General features: G+C 41.3%; 1 protein-coding gene across 1 annotated transcript in view, besides 1 other annotated feature; it reads right to left on the bottom strand.

Moving 5' to 3' along the window:
• SPON1 (spondin 1) overlaps positions 1-18836 on the bottom strand; it is a 305411-nt gene that overhangs the window by 245755 nt on the left and 40820 nt on the right. The window lies entirely within an intron of this gene.
• Positions 187-694: an enhancer, noted in NCBI's record as "NANOG hESC enhancer chr11:14043232-14043739 (GRCh37/hg19 assembly coordinates)". NCBI's record gives its function as "activates a minimal SCP1, AML or CMV promoter by ChIP-STARR-seq in primed H9 embryonic stem cells {active_cell/tissue: H9 hESC(primed)}" and the evidence as "EXISTENCE:reporter gene assay evidence [ECO:0000049][PMID:30033119]".

Raw genomic sequence — 18836 nt, 5'->3', positions numbered from 1 at the left:
ATAAAAGTGAGAACAGATTATTTGCCAGAAGCACATTCGAATCCTCCATTTACCTGTGCTAATTGTAATATGTTAACAACAGGCTGCTCTTAAAGATTCATTAAACTGAATCCCCTGAGGACCTGTACTTGGGAGCTCAGCTGGCTGATATTCTGAATTCCTAAATGCACTTAAAAATAACCAAATGTCTTTTCTCCCAAAGCATTTAATAGTATAGAATAGTAACCAATTCATAACGACCCTCTGCTCAATTATTGCTTTTTTTGGCTTTTTCTTTTATTCTTCCAAACGGTAAGGTCAAACTTCAACAGCATCACCTGCTGAGTCCCTCACTGGGCTCTCTTTCTGGATGTGTGTTGCCAGGAGAACAATTCTGCTTTCAACAATAAAAACAACAATCAATGCTTGCACAAAAGACTTAAGGACAATGGGAAATGTGGGTGAGTTAATTACATCCCTGGTCCCTTTGTTCTTTACAAATAAAGAGCAAGAGCGATGGGTGATCAGTGAACTTTAGAGACGCAAGCCATTGAATTGTGCTTAAGAGAACTGGGTTTCTTAGGAGTCAAATGAATGGACATCCTCTGAAAACAACTTCGTGTGTATCAGAAATCTACAATGTTCAGTCCTTGGAAGAAGGAGCCAGCACTAGAGCAGGAATTGGGAAACACAGGGCAGGGTCGTCTCAGGTCTTGTAGGAACTTGGAGAACTCCTCCTTCCAGGGCCTTGGGTTTTCTGAAGTTGAAATGACTCAATGGCACCAAAATGCCCTGCAATTCTAAAATGTGATTTGGCTCTCAGATTCAGCCTGTTTGGGAAGTGCTGAACAAAACCAGGGACTGGATCCTGGTGCTTTGGGGCTTGTTTTCCCTCTTCTTCCTCAGGTTTTGCAACCTGAGCTGTTTCAGAAGCTGAGGCATTCATACTGAAGACCAATATACAACCCTCAGCCCTGACTTCTGCTTCATTTCTGCAGCCTTGTCCCTGAGGTCTACCCGGGGACTTGTTGGTGCAGAACTACTGCATCTTTGAACTCTTGGCCTATGGAATTTCCTTCTAAACACAACTTACTATTTTTTCATACACTCATTCAACACATATTTATCATCTGCTTGTAATATGCCAGATATTATGATATACTGTGGTGAACAAAACAGAAATGGTAGCTTCCCTCCTGTGGCTTATAATTGGCCAGGTGAATAAGACATTAAATGCCTTGTTTTAAAGGTAAAAAATACAAATAGGTATAAAGTAGAAAGTGAATTGTGCCCAGGATTTTACCTCCCAGATAAAACCACCTGTTGGATCATTATATCGTGATATTCTGTAACCTCATTTCTTTCTCTTAACATCTTATAAACAATCTTTTAAACATACATGTAAATCTGCCAAATCTTTTTAAATTACTGCATAATAATCTGTGCCAGAAATATTCAGTGTATTTCACTTATATCTGCATCCTTATTCCTCACTATAGCTCTATGAGTTAGTATTATAATTATCCCATTTTACAGCTAAAGAAACTGAGTCCCAGAAATGTTCACAGAGAGCTGAGGTCACACAGCTGGTAAATGGCAGAACCAGAATTTAAACCCTGGCTGTGGGACTCCAGAACTTCAGTTCTTTTCTACTGTTCCTGGTATTCCACTGCCAAGATGTACTACCATTTATTATAATTAATCCTATATGATGGGCTTTCAGATCAGATCAATCACCCCTCTTTTTTTGTTTTGCTATAACAAACAAGGCTGCAATCAACATCCTCGTACTTACATCAGCCTCCACTTGTCTAAATTGGCCAGTTGAATTAATTCCTAGAAGTGAAATTTCAGAGTTAAAGGGTATGAGCATTTTAAATTTTGGCACACAGTGCCAAACTAATACAAATTTTGGATTAATTTGCACGCCTACCAACTGCATATGATAGAGATCACCATTCTCTTCTTAACCCTTGGCATCACTGAATCTGCACTGGCAATGGTCACTCTGACCTCCTCACTGCCAACTCTGACAGCTTTTTACAGCCTCATTCTGCTCAAAGCTCTGCCAGATGTACCCCTGTAGACTTGCCTCTCCCCCAGCTCTTCCCTTTGGGGTGCTTCTCTGGATTTCTTCTCCTATTTCCTTGGCATTTGAAATCTCTTCCCTGGCCCCTGTTCCCTATAAGACCTATGAATGTCATGGAGTCCTGGGTTCTCCTCTTGTCCTCTTCTCTAAATGTCCTCCCTCCCTAGAGTGGTGCACATTCTTAATTACTGGCCCAACAGCCATTCCCTCCTTCTCTTTTGCTAAAAGACCCTATTTGTTTAGGATTTACAGTGTCCAACCCCAGAGATTGAATCATGACTGGTCTAAACCAATTATGGCTATCCTGTTCCTTTCCTTGAGTTTCAGGTGACCATGTGACCTGCTTTTGGCTAATGAGAGGTACAGAAACATCAGCCAGGAGGCTTCTGGGATTTTCCTCTCTGACAAAAGGGGTAGTGGCCTATGAGGAGAGTGTTTTCCCCCACTATCCTCCTTCTCTCCTATTTAGAACACTGTTGGTGAGGGTGACATGCTTTGAGCTAGTGTGGCCAATTTATGAACCGGAGGAGCTAGCACAGCCATTTTATGGAATAGAAGAGAAAGGCTGAGTGAATCACAGAGCTACTAGTCCAGGGACCTGATGTCACTGAGCTGCTAAAAGAATGTGGAAGCCATTTATCTCCAAACTCCTTGCTAAACAATAAAAGAACCCATGATAAAAGCCATGATTGGATTTTCTGTTTCTTATAGCCAAATACCTCCTAAGAGATACATAATGATCATACATAATGATCATATATAATACTCTACCTTGATGGTGTCAACCCAGGTCCTTGAGTCTCAGAACTATATAATGATAATAATTAATAACAATAAGTTATCAAGTGCCTGTTATGATCTAGAACCTAAATTATATATATAATCATATACAATTTTATATACATTGTATATTTATATAATTATACACATTATAAAATTACGTATAATATATAATTAATATACATAATTTTATGTAAAATTTAAATATCACAACTACTCTATAAGGTTAAGTGCCATTATTCCCATCTTATTAGTGAGAAAACTGAACTGAGGCACAGAGGGATTAAGTAACTTACCCATGGTCATAAGTCTCCTAAGTGGCTGAGCTAGGATTCAAACCGGGGCAGTCTGGTCTCAGACTCCATACATCCAAATACTATGGATGACTAAAGGAACCTTGAATTGTACAGGTCCCAAATGGAGCTCATCAGCCTTCTCCCTCATAAATAGGCTCCTCATTCAAACTCTGTCTTGGTCAAGGCAGAAACTTGGGACTCTCTTTGGACTTGTACTTCTCTTTTCTACCCCATGTCCAACTGGTCACCACATACTGACAATTCTACCTTCTAAACATATTCTGAACTATTCTGCGATGCCTGGCTTGCAGTAAATGCTTACAAGTGCTGGCTGCTATTACCAGGCTCTTCATGACTAAGCTGCTGCTTCTTTTCAAATCTTTCAACCATCCTAAAACCTCCAGCCCACTGAACTTGCCTGGTCTACTGGCTCTTGTTGTACCGTTGGAGCCTTTGTATAGACTGCCTTTACTGCATTGAATGCCCTGTGCTACACTCTCCCTAATTAATTCTTCTACAATGTAGCCCATGTGTCAGGCCCACTAGGAGGCTTTTTCTGACTTCTCAACCTCCACAAATTGTTCTCCCAGCATGCTCTGCAGATCTCTGTCTCTGGCCTTATCATACTGCAGTTTAGTCATTTGTTTACTTATCTTTTCTCATCCATGTCAACTCCACATTCCCAAACCAAGTTATAACCTCCTCAGGAGAAGGATACAATATTTCAAACTCAATCCAGCCCCTTCCTTCAGCCCCTGCCCCTCCGTTGGTCTCTCAGTTACTGGCATCATTAAACTAGAAATTTCCATGTCATTTCTAAACTGAACAAGCCAATTTCTACCTCTGAAATGTTGTTTGAATCTATCCTTGCCTCTTCATTCCTAAGTGACTACCTGGATGCCTTAAGATCTCAGGCTTGATAGTTATGACAGAGTAGATCCTATTTCCATTTGGGACCTACTAAGGGCTTCCTGCAGAGTTGAGAGGTGAAGCTCATTGTCTGAAAGGTGGTCAAATTTGAACAAAGGCCGTCTAGCTACTTGTAAATGGATTATATCCATGTATTGAAATATATCTTACATTTTCTACCCACAAATTCGCAACAAGACCCAAAGACTCTAAATAGTACCTTGTTCCATGGTTATTTCATAAGAAAAGTGAGCTAAAGAATTGTTCAGTAGCTCCAGCAAAGTCTTCTTAAAACCAAGTATAGTATAAGTTAATTAATCAGGCAAGTGATCAATAAAATACAAGAAATGCAGCATTAAATAATACTGAGCTGCTCATTCCAAATAGTCCGACTCATTAGTTTGATCAATACATTACAAAGATGTAACAAGTGTAAAAACACAAGGGGCCTAAAAATACTTAGTTGATGTATTGCATCCATTATCAGAATGCACATATTTTTCAAGACACTTAGGTAGTCCCAGCAAATCCAACAATTAACTTTTGAAATAGCCAAATAGTAAGCAGAGTTTTGGTGAAGGTCTTCTATTCAAGCGTCCAATTTTGCAAATATTTGGAAAGACAGTGTGCCCAATGAAATATGCCTGAACTAGGGCTCAAATGGCCCTGCTACTTTAGGCAAGGTGGCCTTAGGCAAGTTGTTCAACCTCTAACTTTTCATCTGTAAAATTTGGGTAAGAATCCAGTTCTGTCTCCATCACAAGGCTGTCACAGAGCTCAAATGACAGGATGAATATGAACACAGTTTAAGCACTACTAAGTTCTCTAAGAATAAAAGCTGCATTTTGCAAAAAAGTCAGTCCATCTCTAAGGCAGGCACACGAGAAGAGAAGCTTTATTCATAGATTACTAAAAAACTAAGCTAATTTTAAAATTCTTTAAAGCATAGTCTGAAAACAATGATGTAATTAAAACAAAACATTTTGACACTGATTTTTTTTTAAATTAAAGAGCTGGGGATCTTTAGAATATGAGCCTAACTCTTTTTATTTGTGACCTCCATGGCTTTCAACTCAATGACAATGCTTAAAGAAACAATGACATTATTTTGGGGTCCTGAACCAGTTATACCTGGTCATTTGTTCAACCTCAACTTGAAAAGTGGTTTGTAATATTTTCCCTAATACCTCTGGAGAGTAAAATTAAATTTCTCACCAACATAGGAAAATGCAGCATATGCCAGGAAGGTCATTGCCAATGAAAATGGGCCTGACACCAGCCCTGGAACATACAAAAGTTTCCCTTACACCGTAGCAATCTCTGGGCACCTGAAAAGAGGCCCTAAAGGCTGCTTTGCAAAGTTAGAGTGCCCTGTGCCCATCCTGGTAGCAAAAGTCTGCTGATCTGCTGTCAGCTACTGTGCAACACATGGAGGTCTTACTGGCCACATGCAGTGCCCAGCACTTAGTAGGTGATCAGGAAGCGTTGCCTGAATTGAAATGAAAAAAATGGCACATTATCTTCTGCAATGTGAAACCAATAGTGTGAGTCAACAGCCAGCTTCTTGACTTTCCCAATTTTAGTCTCCAAAACACTACTAAAATTATCATTTTAAAATTCCATTTTTAAAGTATTAATTTTAGATTAAACCAGATATGAGCTATCCTAAATTCTTTTTGAACAAGATTGGGTATATATTTCTTTTTTTAATGTGAGTATAAAAATATAACAGAAAAAAAACCCTTACTCTGAGAACTTGTTTTAAAGTACCCAATTGCAATAAACGAATAGTATGTTCAGTTGACTGCTAATCAAATTTAGAAAACAATAATCAATGCTATAGTTACATGGGTCCAAATAAATTATTTTGATATAAATGTATACTTAGATGGATATACTTCTGCCTTCTTGCTGACCCATAGAAAGCACATCAGTCTTCACCTGACAGATGTTTCACCAGTTAAACTTTCTCACACGTTTGCACAAGTAAAAATGTAAAGATCATAGAATTGGTTTTGTAAGCCACTTAGCCTCTTGGCAGTTCAGTTAAATGGATTGAGTTAAATGAGATCACATGTGTAAAGTGCGTAGCACTTAGTACATGCTCCCACAAATAGTAAACACTGAGAAAGGAAGGAAAGAAAGGAGGGTATACCCAAAAAGAAAGGAAGTTCCTGAGGCACCACCAGCAGGGAATCTAGGAAGAGGGAACTGCCATCAGAGCTTCTTCCCCTTTTCTTCCTTTCCCTTCCCAGCAAATGAATATAAAAGAATTAATCCCAAGATTGGATGACTCCAGAGAATAAGTCATCAACTATCCTGCCCTCTGCGGCCATCTGCACTGAACCATGAGAAGAAAAGGCAGTACTTGACACTTCAGAGATCCCTCCTAGAATCCGTGGCAACATGAACTTACCCCAGCCTGCTATGAGCCGGTCAGATAAGGCAGGTAAAGTCAAAGGTGACCTAGAGCCTGGATATTGTCCCTGAGACCCTGAGCCTCTGACACACTGCATTCAGGCAGCATGACTCACTCCATTCCTAACAAGGACATCGCCAAACAGCCAACATAAATATACAATGACTTACCTCCAATAGTTTCTTGTTCTTTGGTAATGGAAACACAAAAGCTTTGTTACTGAGTTTAAATTTACCCATAGTTAACAAGTGTCAATCAACCACATCTTTGACATATCAATTCAGAAATTATCAGAAACCTTAAGCATGTTTATGTTTCTGGGAAACCATCTTAATAAACTAATTTAAAATGTAAGTAAAGCATTCCTTGTGGCTATGGTCTGAATGTCCCCTAAAATTCATATGTTGAAAAGTAATAATCAATGTGATACTATTAAGAGGTGGAGGCTTTAGGAGGTGATTAAGTCATGAGGGCAGAGCCCTCATAAATGGGATTAGTGACCTTATAAAGGTCTTAAGAGATGAAACTGCTTATATTATCCCTTCTACCACCTGAGGACACAGTGCTTGTCCCCTCCAGAGCATGCAACAAGGCACCATTTGGAAGCAGAAAACAGTCCTCACCAGACACTAAACTTGCTGGCACCTAGATCTTGTACTTCTCAGCTTCCAGACTGTGAGAAATACATTTCTATTCTTTATAAATAACCCAATCTGTGGTATTTTGTTATAGCAGCATGAATGGACTATGACACTGGTCATACAGGTTATTCTGAGCATTTACACTCATAAGAAACAAGAAATAAGCTTTGAGCCAAACCTCAATGGGGAGAGGTTAAGTAGACTATGTTGTGCCCATTAAAAATGAGGCCTGCCCACAATTCTGTTAAGATTTTCTCCATAGACAGACAAGTGTGTGTGTGTACGTGCACAGACATACACAAAGACACATTTGTTTACAATAGAAGAAGGGTAAAAATCTATAAGGCCAGTAATAGTAACATCTATACAATGAGACATTTAAAATTTCATGTACCTCTGTATCTTTGTATTATAGCATGCATGTACTATTTTTATAATTAAATTAATACTTTAAAAAAGTATTTAAAAAGGCCACAGTCACAAATCTGCATGAGAAGAGGCAGGCCTCTGACCTGGTCCCTTGGAAATGCTTCCTGTGTTTTGTGTCCTTTAGTTTACAGTTGAAGATATGGCAGGTGCTCCTCCATTTAATACCAAAGATATTGGATGAAGGCGCAAATGCCCGACAGTAGGATTCTATGCCATCTCTCATGCACAGTGACGCCCCACTCAGTTTATTGTTGTTCACCACTGCCATGGACATAGCACCAGACCTTTCTCCTCCCAAACTCCAGATAGTCTCCACCACTTGATCAGAATTGACACATAAGATGAAACCTGCCATAGTTCCTTGAATCCAGGATGCCATTGCGTATAAGAGGTATCAATGATGCACTAACAGTTTATCTGGAAAAGGAATCCTACATTTCATGTACATATCAATTGTAAGATGCATTCTGACTTGTAAAATGCTACAATGTTAAAAATGGGCATTTTTGAATCTGTGGAATGCTGTGGTCACCCTCCTTGGTCTATGACAACCCCTCCTTTCCCTTCCCACCGATGGCCTTCCATGCCTGCTACCATCTCACTTGCTGTTAAGAAGCTACAGCACAGACATAAGGCACCAGGCTGCACCCACCTTGTCCACGTAGCTGCAAGATGAAGATCTAGGAGCCAGAAGTCACTGGCAGCCTCAGGTAAGCCAAGGCAGTTTGGGCTGGGCCAGAGACGGGAGTATGTGGGTCCTTCACACAGAGCTTCTCCCCCAGCATTAACTTCCAATTTGATGACAGTCAGAAGCTTCAGAAGAACCAGGCTTCTCTGATTACTATGTTTAATACTCCCCTTTCCCTAAAATCCACGATAATGGAAACAGGCTTTGACTTTCTTTTTCCCCGCTACAAAACACCCAAGGAAGAAACACCCTACAGGTTTGGGAAATCATTGCTGTATGGGCTTGAGCAAGAAGTAAATAACCTCTCTGAGTCTCTTCCTTCATCTCTAAAATGTTCATAACACTTTTCCTAGATTGCTTGTGAAGATTAGAGGTCAAGGAGACAGGGCACCCAGTCTAGAGCCTGGTATACAGCAGGTGCTCAGTAAATCTAGTGAGCCAGATTTCCTCTAGTTGGTAAACTGATTGCTCAATTGGCAATGTATACAATATTAGCAATATGACCTGAGAGAAAGACAAGCAACTTTCAAAACTACATTTAAGTTGTATGTACCCCAGAAGATCCTACTCAATAGGCAGGCAACACAGTCAATGGGACTTCAGGCAATTGCAGCCACAAACCCATTGGTGAGTTAGAGAATTGGGGGAAATAAGCTCCTTAACTCCCTCCTCCTTTCTTTTATTCCCCAAACAGAATGGCCAAGTTTATTAATTGACAGTTTTACTCAGAGAATGGCTCTAAAATGACTATAATTCTTTACTAATAGAGTAGATTTTTTTATTCCAAAACCTGACCAAATGGAAGTGGAGTAGAGTAGGTTTAGATTTCACAGTCTCTATGTTCCCCATGCCCACCTTTACTGATGAAACAGACAAGGCCGAGCAGAGAGAGTTTAAAGGATAAAAAGCAGAAAGACGATCTATTCAATAATCCACATAATCAGCCTAAGAATTAGCAGAAGTTGTTAGCATGGGGCTTCTGGGACTGCCTGGATCTCTATTCCCAGCTGGCATCTTATTCTGAAGGAGAAGCAACATCCTAGGTTCAGGCTGAAGCAAAGTGATTTAGTAACATGTGTGAAATTACATTTAGAAGATGAGGTTGCCGTTAGAAACAGACTCACAGGGAAAGAATGTAAGAAATATCAGAGTACAGTCATCAGGGACCGTTTTGTGTAGGGACCAGCAACACCTCTTCAGTAAGGCAGAATATGTAAATAGGAACATTTAATATTTAATAATGAAGGAAAAGGGCAAAAAATGTAGCCATCCTTTTGTTCAACAAACACTTATTAACTACCGAGAGCCAATTTTTGTCCTGGGCCCTGGGGAGTCCAAGATGATTAAAACATGCTTTGTCCTCAAAGGACTTGCACTCTAGCAGAGGGAGACAAAGAGGCAGAAATAAAAGGGAAATTCTCCCCAATGGCAGACATCAGAAGCCTCAGAAGGGCTTGGCTTCTACTAGGTGTTGGGATGGGGGAGGAGGAACAGGAGTGGCTTCACAGAGGAAGTGACTTTGAGCTGAATCTTGAAAGACGAGTCTGTTTTTGCCAAATCGGTGGACAAAATGGTTAACACTTAGAAGGCTGCAGTATGTGATGATGCATTTATGGAGAAAAGTCTCATTCCCTACCACATAGGATAAATGCGGTTTGCACGTCGCCACTGAGAATATGCTTGGCATAACTAAGTTGCTCTATGAGGAATCTGGTGTTAATCTGGTTCTCCAATGTATCTCACCAGAGTCAAAAGCTGACCCCCATTTGGGGTCATAGGAAGCCCTGCTGTGGCACAGTCTCAGCCTTCCCATCTTGGTCCTGTGGCCTTTGGTGAAAGGTTAGGGTGGGTGTTAGGATGGGAGGTGTCTGTCAGTGGGGCTCAGTTGTCTGGAGCTGCAATCACTTTTGACACAAGGAGGCCCTGAAGCCAGCAGGAGAGGCTGGCAGCATTCAGTGTTAGACCTCTGGAAGGCTGGCCAGCAAGTCCCAACTGGTAAAGAGGAGATAAAGTGTCAACGAACTCCCTCCTATGACCTACATGGCCTTCATGGCTAGGCATCCCATCCCAAGAGTTGGTATCTCACTGCAGCCCACCCATCCACTGTTTACCTGCCAGGACTCTGCTAAGCACTTTCCACACATTATGCATTGCAGCCCTCACACCCTTCCTTTGAGGAGGCTACTATTACTGCCATTTTACACACAGGGAAACTGAGGTTTGAAGAATTGTGCAAGGTCACCTGGTTAATAAGCAGGAGAGCCAGGAATCAAATCTGAGATGTTGTATTCCAAAGCCCATGTCATATTCCTTTCTTGTTCTTTAGGGTTCCCTCTCACCTCCAGGCCTCTCCAAGCAACACTCCTCCTCTTCCATCCTCATCCACTCTCTAACTTTTATTTGTCCATCAGATCCTCACTGAGTTACATTCTCCTCAAACCTCCCTCACTCCCCTCCCTCTACGTGCCTACAGTGGGGAAATGTGAGCTAGTTGCCAGATCATGAAGGGCCTCATAAGCCATGTAGAAGAATTTGGGCTGACTTGAGAACAATAGGAAATTCTTAATTTAGCAGAGGAATGGAAAGTCAGAGAGCAAAGAGGAGAGACCTATTGGGAGGCTGCAGTAGGAATCCACTCATGAGTGGACTGAAGGCCCCCTAAACTATAGGGGGAGTCAGCCATGGACAGGCCTCAGAAGGTTGGAGAAATCCCTGAAATACAAGCAAAATTGTGTGTGTGAGTGCATTTTTCTGATGACACAGTACATAGCTTTCCTTAGATTCTAAGAATAAGAACCGCAGTACCTTGTTATATGGTTACCTGAAAAATTGTCCAACACAATAGTGGGCCATGCCTAGAAGTCACAAAGCCTAAAATTTGCTAAAATTTGAATGAAGAATGAAAACTCATGTAGAAACATGGTTTTCAGTAGAGTCCAGTGCTCTTTCTTCTGAGCTTCTGTAGCTGAATTCAAACCCACAGAGTGGAGAGGGCTGAGCTCTTCCTTGGGGTTGCATGTGCTACCCAAACTCAGCTGCCGAGGATAGGAGGCACATTCCATTAATAATATTTTGGTTCTGGTCTGTCCTGACTACCCACACTAATTAGGAAAATGTAATTGATTCTTAAGGACTCCCCATTAAAGAAAAAAAGCGGGGAATGTTACAAGGAGCATCACAATTTCCTAAAGCTATGATCCTACTATATTGCCGTTTATCAAGGGCATTTTATTTTTCTCTGGCTGGAGGCCAATTTCATCTGCAGTAGACAGAAATGCTGAAATAAGACAGTAATATGTCTTCAAGCTCCGGACAAGCTGGCTAGAGCCCAGTGAAATAGTGTGGTTTGGTGGAAAGAGCATTGGCCTAGGATATGAGTCCAACTTAATATTGCACCTAGAAAAGAAAGATCATTACACCTGCCTTACTTGCCTCAGAGAGTTTGGGTTGCTGTAAAAAGATGCCAGGCAATCTATTGAGAAGTGAAGTCACATTGAGAGTGGTGTGGTGTTCCCTATGACACACGTATAAGCATGCACACAGGTAAACACACTCCACTCATGCAGGTCACCTGCTTGGCCTAGGCCAGCAGGAGATTTTTTTCCTCTCAGAAAATCTAAACCTTCCTGATTCTCCCCAATCCCTCATTTTACCCCCAGTCTGTCCTTCACCTTCACTTGGCCTCACCTGCTGCTTCACGTGCCCCTCAACCTCGTCCCTCCTTTACATCTCTACACTTAGCTCATCTTTTTTTAATCTGTGGGTCTTCCTTTCTGAGCTCCCAGTCTGCCCTTAATCCCATCCCCCTCTCATCTCTAGACATGAATCCTCTTATATGGCCCATCTTTTGCATCTACTACAGGGTTGCCAACCACCTAAGTCTAGATATCCAGCCTGCCCTCTGTCCTTAGCTCCCAGCCCAGATTCCCAAACAAGAGTGTACCTCTCCAGCTGAATTAGCTGTGGGGCCCTCCAACATGGGCAAAACTGAGTTGTGACCCTTCCACTAAACCTTCTCCTCCTGCAACTGATCTCAGCCTTGCCATTATTCCATTATCCCTTCATTTGTTCCTGCAGTGCATACCTATTGAGCATCTCTGTGTGTCAGACAGTATGCTAAGCACTGGGAATATAGTGGCCCCTGTCCTCATTTGATGGGAAAGACAGACATTGATACAGTCTGAATGTTGACAGCCCCCTCCATCAAGTTCTTATGTTGAATCTAATAGCCAATGTGATAGTATTAAGTGGTGGAACCTTTGGGAAGTGATTAAGTGATGAGGGCTCCACCCTCATAAATGGAATTAGTGTCCTTATAAAAGAGACCTGAGTGAGCTCTCTTACCCTTCCTCCACATGAAGATGCAGCAAGAAGGTGCCATGTATGGGGAACAGGCCCTTACCAGACAACAAATCTGCTGGTGCCTTGATCTTGGACTGCTCAGCCTCCAGAATTGTAAGCAATAAATTCTGTTGTTTGTAAATCACTGAGTCTAAGATATTTTGTTATAGCAGTCTGAATGGACTAAGACAGACATGAATCAAATAGTCACCAAATATGAACACAGTTCTTACTGGGAAATTTCTATGACAGATATATGTGCAACGAGAACATAACAGAGCATATAATGGTGCTAAGGAAAGATTTTCCAAGGAAGCAACTTGCTATATATGAGCTGAGATCTGAAGGCTGAGTGGTATTTATTAGGAAAAGTTGGGTTGGGGCAGAGGGGAATGTTCTAAACAATGAGGAAACATTTCTCTACACATACCCTGGGGCAGGAGAAAACTGGGAGCGTTCATAGAAGACCAATGTGTCTAGAGCTCAGGGAACAAGGGAAGATGACACAAGATGAGGTGGAGAGATGAGTAGGGGTCAGGCCTTTCTGGGCCTTTTGGGCTGTTAAGGAACTTTGTCTTCCTCCTGAAATTAGTGATAAATTATGTGAATACCTTCAACAAACATTTATTGAACAGCTACTGTGTTTCTGGCCCTTTTCAAGATGATGAGGACACAGGGAACACATGAATGGAACTAAGTCCCTGACCTCATGGAGCTCACATACCAATCACACACAACTGAAGGCAGCTTAACAGAGCAATTGTGAGGTGCCAAAAATGGATGCAGAAAGGTTACTATGGTCGTCCAGGAGTATGTGATGACAGACTGGACTCATAGCAGGCTGAGAAGGGGAGAAGTTGGTGAATTAGAAAGACTTACAAGGTACCATCAGCAGGACTTAGTGATGGATTGGCCAGGGGGTGGAATTTTGTTTGTTGTAAGGTTTTTAAATTGTTCTTTTAAGAAGGAAAATTCCTGAAGGAAGAGTTTTAAAACTTGAGCTGAAGGGAAGGACCTTATCAAGAAGAAAAGGCTGACTCTACAAAACAAAGGTGGGGTGATTGGCCATTTAAGGTTCCTGAGGAAGCAGGAGAGAGTGGTATCCAGAGCCTGAGTAGAGATGGTCTCAGGACAGGGATGGAGAGATCCATTATTTTAGTAGGAGAAGAAGTGAGGAAAGATGCAGGTAGGTTTATTAACTTTAGCAACAAGTTAAGAAATTCTGGTCCAGGTCCAGGGATTTCTTTTTCTTTCTTTTCTTTTCCCCCCATAGAGAACACAACAAGGTCACTTGTTGAGAATGATGTGGGAAAAGTGATGTGACCCATAGGTGGGTCAGGAATGAAAGGAATCAGCATTAGGGAAAGTGGGAGGACAAGCCTTCCAGAGTAATTTGGTCAGATTGCCAGGCAGGTCAAGGGCCCTCCAAGGTCAGTGGTCCTGCATAAGTGTAAATGGTAGGAAGAAAAATGTCCCCGCGAAATACAATCATTCCTTGGTATTTGTCGGGGGTTGGTTCCAGCATCATCCTGTGAATATCAAAATCCACAGCTACTCCTCCCATATACTCCTTCTGTATACTTTAAAGCATCTCCAGATTACTTATAATATCTAATGTGATGTAATACTTTGTAAATAGTTGTTATACTGTATTTTTAAAATCTGTATTAATTTTTAATTTTTATTTTTCCAATATTTTTGGCTGAATCAGTGGATGCAGAACCTGCAGATACAAAGGGACTACTGCATGTTCACTTCTAATCCCCAGAAAGTGTGAATAGTACCTTATATGGCAAAAGATATGATTTATTTAAGGATCTTGAGAGGAGATGTTTATTCTAGACTATCTGGAAGCCTTAAATGCAATCATATGTATCCTTAAAAGAGAGTGGCAGAGGGAGCTTTGAGACAGAGACAAGGAGAAGGCCACGTGAGGATGGAGGCAGAGAGTAGAGTGATGCAGCCACACACAAGCCTGCTGACAGTCACCAGAAGCCGCAAGAGGCAAGGAACAAATCGTCCCTAGAGCAGGAGTCCCCAGCCCCCAGTCTGTGGCCTGTTAGGAGCTGGGCCACACAGCAGGAGATCGGGGTGAGCCAGCATTACCGCCTGAGCTTCACCTCCTGTGATGGTTAATACTGAGTGTCAACTTGATTGGATTGAAGGATGCAAAGTATTGACCCTGGGTGTGTCTGTGAGGGTGTTGCGAAAGGAGATTAACATTTGAGTCAGTGGACTGGGGAAGGCAGACCCACCCTTAATCTGGGTGGGCACCATCTAATCAGCTGTGTGGGCACCATCTAATTAGCTGTCAATGAATATAAAGCAGGCAGAAAATGTGAAAAGGAGAGACTGGCCTAGCCTCCCAGACTACATCTTTCTCCCATGCTGGATTCTTCCTATCCTTGAACATCAGACTCCAAGTTCTTCAGTTTTGGGACTTGGACTGGCTCTCCTTGCTCCTCAGCTTGCAGACAGCTGATTGTGGGACCCTGTGATTGTGTGAGTTAATTCTTAATAAATTCACATATATATCTCCTATCAGTTCTGTCCCTCTAGAAAACCCTAATACACCTCCTGTCAAGTAAGTGGCGGCATTCAATTCTCATAAAAGTGCAAACCCTATGGTGAACTGCACATGCAAGGGATCTAGGTTGTGTACTCCTTATGAGAATCTAATGCCTGATGATCTGAGGTAGAACAGTTTTATCCTGAAACCATTCCCCCTACTGCAGCCCATGGAAAAACTGTTCTCCAGGAAACTAGTCCCTGGTGCCAAAAAGGTTTGGGACCACTGCCCTAGAGCCCCCAGAGGGAGTGTGGTCCTGTTGACACCTTAATTTTGGCCCAGTGAGATGAATTTTGAATTTCTGGACCCCAGAATTGTAAGATAATTAAATTTCTGTTGTTTTAAGCCACCAAATGTGTGGCAATTTGTTACAGCAGCTCTAGGAAATTAGCATGATGTGAACTGGCCAATCTGCACTGAAATGTGACTTTTTCCAGGTGCAGGGCTCAGGTGTAAGCACAAAGAAGAGAAAAGATGTGTTCATTCAGGGCTGGAGTTTTGCTAGATTGGTGTGAGGACAAGAGGCAAAGAAGTTATGGGCTATGGCAGAAGTGTTACTGAGATGATGAGCTTAGCTAAGGAGGGAAGAGGAGAGAGGAGAGGGCAGTGGTGGGATGAGGAGACAGCAGAGGGTTCAATGGACCACCGGTCCACCACGTGCGACCAAGCAAAAAGCCTCAGAGTCCTACTCAGCCCCCTGCATTCAACTCATCAGTTGTTAGCTCTTTGATGTCTGTGGCATTCATCTCCTGATGAGCAGCCTTCCTGATCTCTCACTGGAGTTCATGCCACAATCTCCTACCCAGCCTTCCTGCCTCTGTTCTTATCTTCTCCAAGCTCTTCCATATTGATGAGAGCTCTCTTCCTAAGTTGAAAATTTAATCATCATGTTGTTGCCTAATCTAAAACTCTTTGGTGTCCCTCTCCCCTTGCCAAAAAAAACCAAAAAACAATTTCTGCTAGCAGGTACTAAAAGGATAAAGCCCATAGTCCCAAACTGGCGTGGAAGGGCATTTAGATGACAATTCATTAGTTTCATCTCAAGCCCTAACCTTGCACTAGCAATCCAGAACTCCTTGTCATTCCCAGATTATAGCTCACTTTTCCTTACCCTGTCCCATTATTCATGCTCTGCCGAGACTGCTCTTTCTATAGCCCTTGAGATTCAGTTAAAGATCAGCTTCTCTAATGTTACCCTAATAATAATTACTAATGTTTATTAAGTACTGGTATGTTAGACATCATGTTAATTGATTTTCCTAGGATGATCTCATTTGATTCACCCTCCAAAGTGGGTAATATTATTATTCCCCTTTTCCAAGCAGGAAGAAACCGAGCCTTAGAGAGGTCATAGAGCAGAATTGTAGATTCAGGATTTGAACCCAGGTCTCTCAGGCTCTAGAGTTGAACTTTCAACAGTCTATAACATTCTATTGAATGACCCTAAGTCCAGAAGCCCTTTGTGCATAGCCTGAAGGCATTGAGATCAGAATTATGAATGTTATAATAATACTTAGCAACTTACTATGTGCCAAGGACTCTAATGATCATCTTTACAGCTTTGACATCTTTATTATTTGTTTTTCAGACAGAGAAACAAAGGTTAAAAGAGTTAAAGTTACACAGCAAGAGTAGAACAGGGGCTTACATTCCCTCTGTCTAATTTGAAAAGCCCCAGGCTTAATTTACCTTAATTTAGCCCAGGGTCTAGAACATCAAAGTGGGCCACAAATCTCAACGTGGAGCATGAATGGGAGTCATTATCACGCAGATGGTACTCAAAGCCATGGAACGGATGAGTCTAATTGTGCAGAGAAAGGACAGAAAAGGTTACAGGACAGAGTTTGGAGAGTGCATCATTTAGAGAAGCAGATCTCAATGGGGATGATCTTGTTCTCTAGGGGACATCAGAATCAGACAATATCTGGAAACATTTTTGGTTATCACAACTGGTGGGGCCAGGGGCCAGGGGTGCTGCCAACCATCCCAGAGGACACAGGGCAGCTGCCAACAACAAAGAATTATCTGGCTCAGAAATCATAAATCTCCTAGAAGAGAAAATAGCAGAAAACCTCCTCAACATTGGCCTTTGTAATAATTTTTTTGGATATCACACCAACAGTTCATGCTACAAAAATAAAATAAATAAATGGAACTACATGAAACTAAAAACCTTCTTCACAGCAAAGGAAACAAACAACAAAATGAAAAGGCATAGCCTGGGCAACACAGTGAGACTCCATCTCTAAAAAAATTTTTTTTAAATCATCCAGACATAGTGGCATGCACCTGTAGTCCCAACTACTCAGGAGACCCAGGCAGGAGGATCACTTGAGCCCAGGAGTTTGGGGCTGCAGTGAGCTATTATTATGCCACTGCACTCCAGCCTGGGTGACAGAGTGAGACCCTGTCTCACACAGAAAAAAGAAAGAAAGAAAAGGAAAACTACGAACTGAAAAAACAAACAAACAAAAAACTGCATTTCACATATCTGATAAGGAGTTAATATCTAAAATTTGTAAATAACTGTTAAAACTCAATAGCAGAAAAACAAAAAAACCCAACTAAAAAATGGGCAAATAACCTGAACAGACATTTTTTCCAAAGACAATATAAAAATGGCCAACAGGTATATGAAAAGGTGTTCAACATCATTAATCATCAGGGAAATGCAAATTAAAACCACTATAAGATATTATCTCACATCCATAAGGATAGCTATTATCAAAAAGACAAGAGATAGCAAATGTTGGTAAGGGTCTGGAGAAAAGGTAACCCTGTATGCTGTTGATGGAAACGTAGATTGGTATAGCCATGGTGGAAAATGGTATGGAGGTTCCTCAACTAAAAATAAACTATCATATGATACAGCAATCCGACTTCTGGGTATTTACCTAGAGGAGATAAACTCACTACCTCATAAAGACACCTGTGGACCCATGTTCATTGCAACATTATTAACAATAGCCAGGATATGGAAACGACCTAAATGTCCATGTTCATTTGGGAAAAGAAAATGTAGGAAATGTACAAATGGGGAAAGAACATGTACACGTGTGTGTGTGTGTATGTGTGTGTGTGTGTCTGTGTGTGTAATGGAATATTATTCAGCCTAGAACAGAAAGAGATCTTGCCATTCTCCACAACAAAGATGGACCTGGAAGACATTATGCTAAGTGAAGTAAGCCAGAAAGAGAAAGAAAAATATTGCATGATCTCTCTTATATGTGAAACATTTTTTTAAAAAAAGAGCTCAAATATGCAGAGATAGATAAGGGAGTGATTATCAAAGGGGGTAGAGAAGGAAAAAATAGGAAGATGTAAGTCAAAGGATACAAAATAACAGTTATATAGGATGAACAAGTCTAGAGATCTAATGTATAGCATGAGGATGAAAAATTGTATTACGGATTTTGGTTAAGTAGATTTTAGTTGCCCTTGTCACAAAAAAAGTAACTATGTGCAATGATGGATGTTAACCTACTTCACTGCAGTAACCATTTTACTATCTATATATATATCATTATGTATACTATCTATACATAACATTATGTTGTAAACCTCAAATATGGCCCAAATGCCAATAGTGCTTATGTAGGTCCCTTCAGCTCTCCCGCTTTCTTTCTGTGTCTTGATAGAAAATCACAGAGTGCCTTGACCACTCTGTGACCCAGCCAAATGTGGGTTATTCCCAGC

The sequence above is a fragment of the Homo sapiens genome, chromosome 11 (assembly GCF_000001405.40).
Source record: "Homo sapiens chromosome 11, GRCh38.p14 Primary Assembly".
Taxonomy (NCBI): Eukaryota; Metazoa; Chordata; class Mammalia; order Primates; family Hominidae; genus Homo; species Homo sapiens.
Note: the sequence above shows the minus strand (reverse complement) of the source record. Positions and strands in the feature narration are given on the sequence as shown.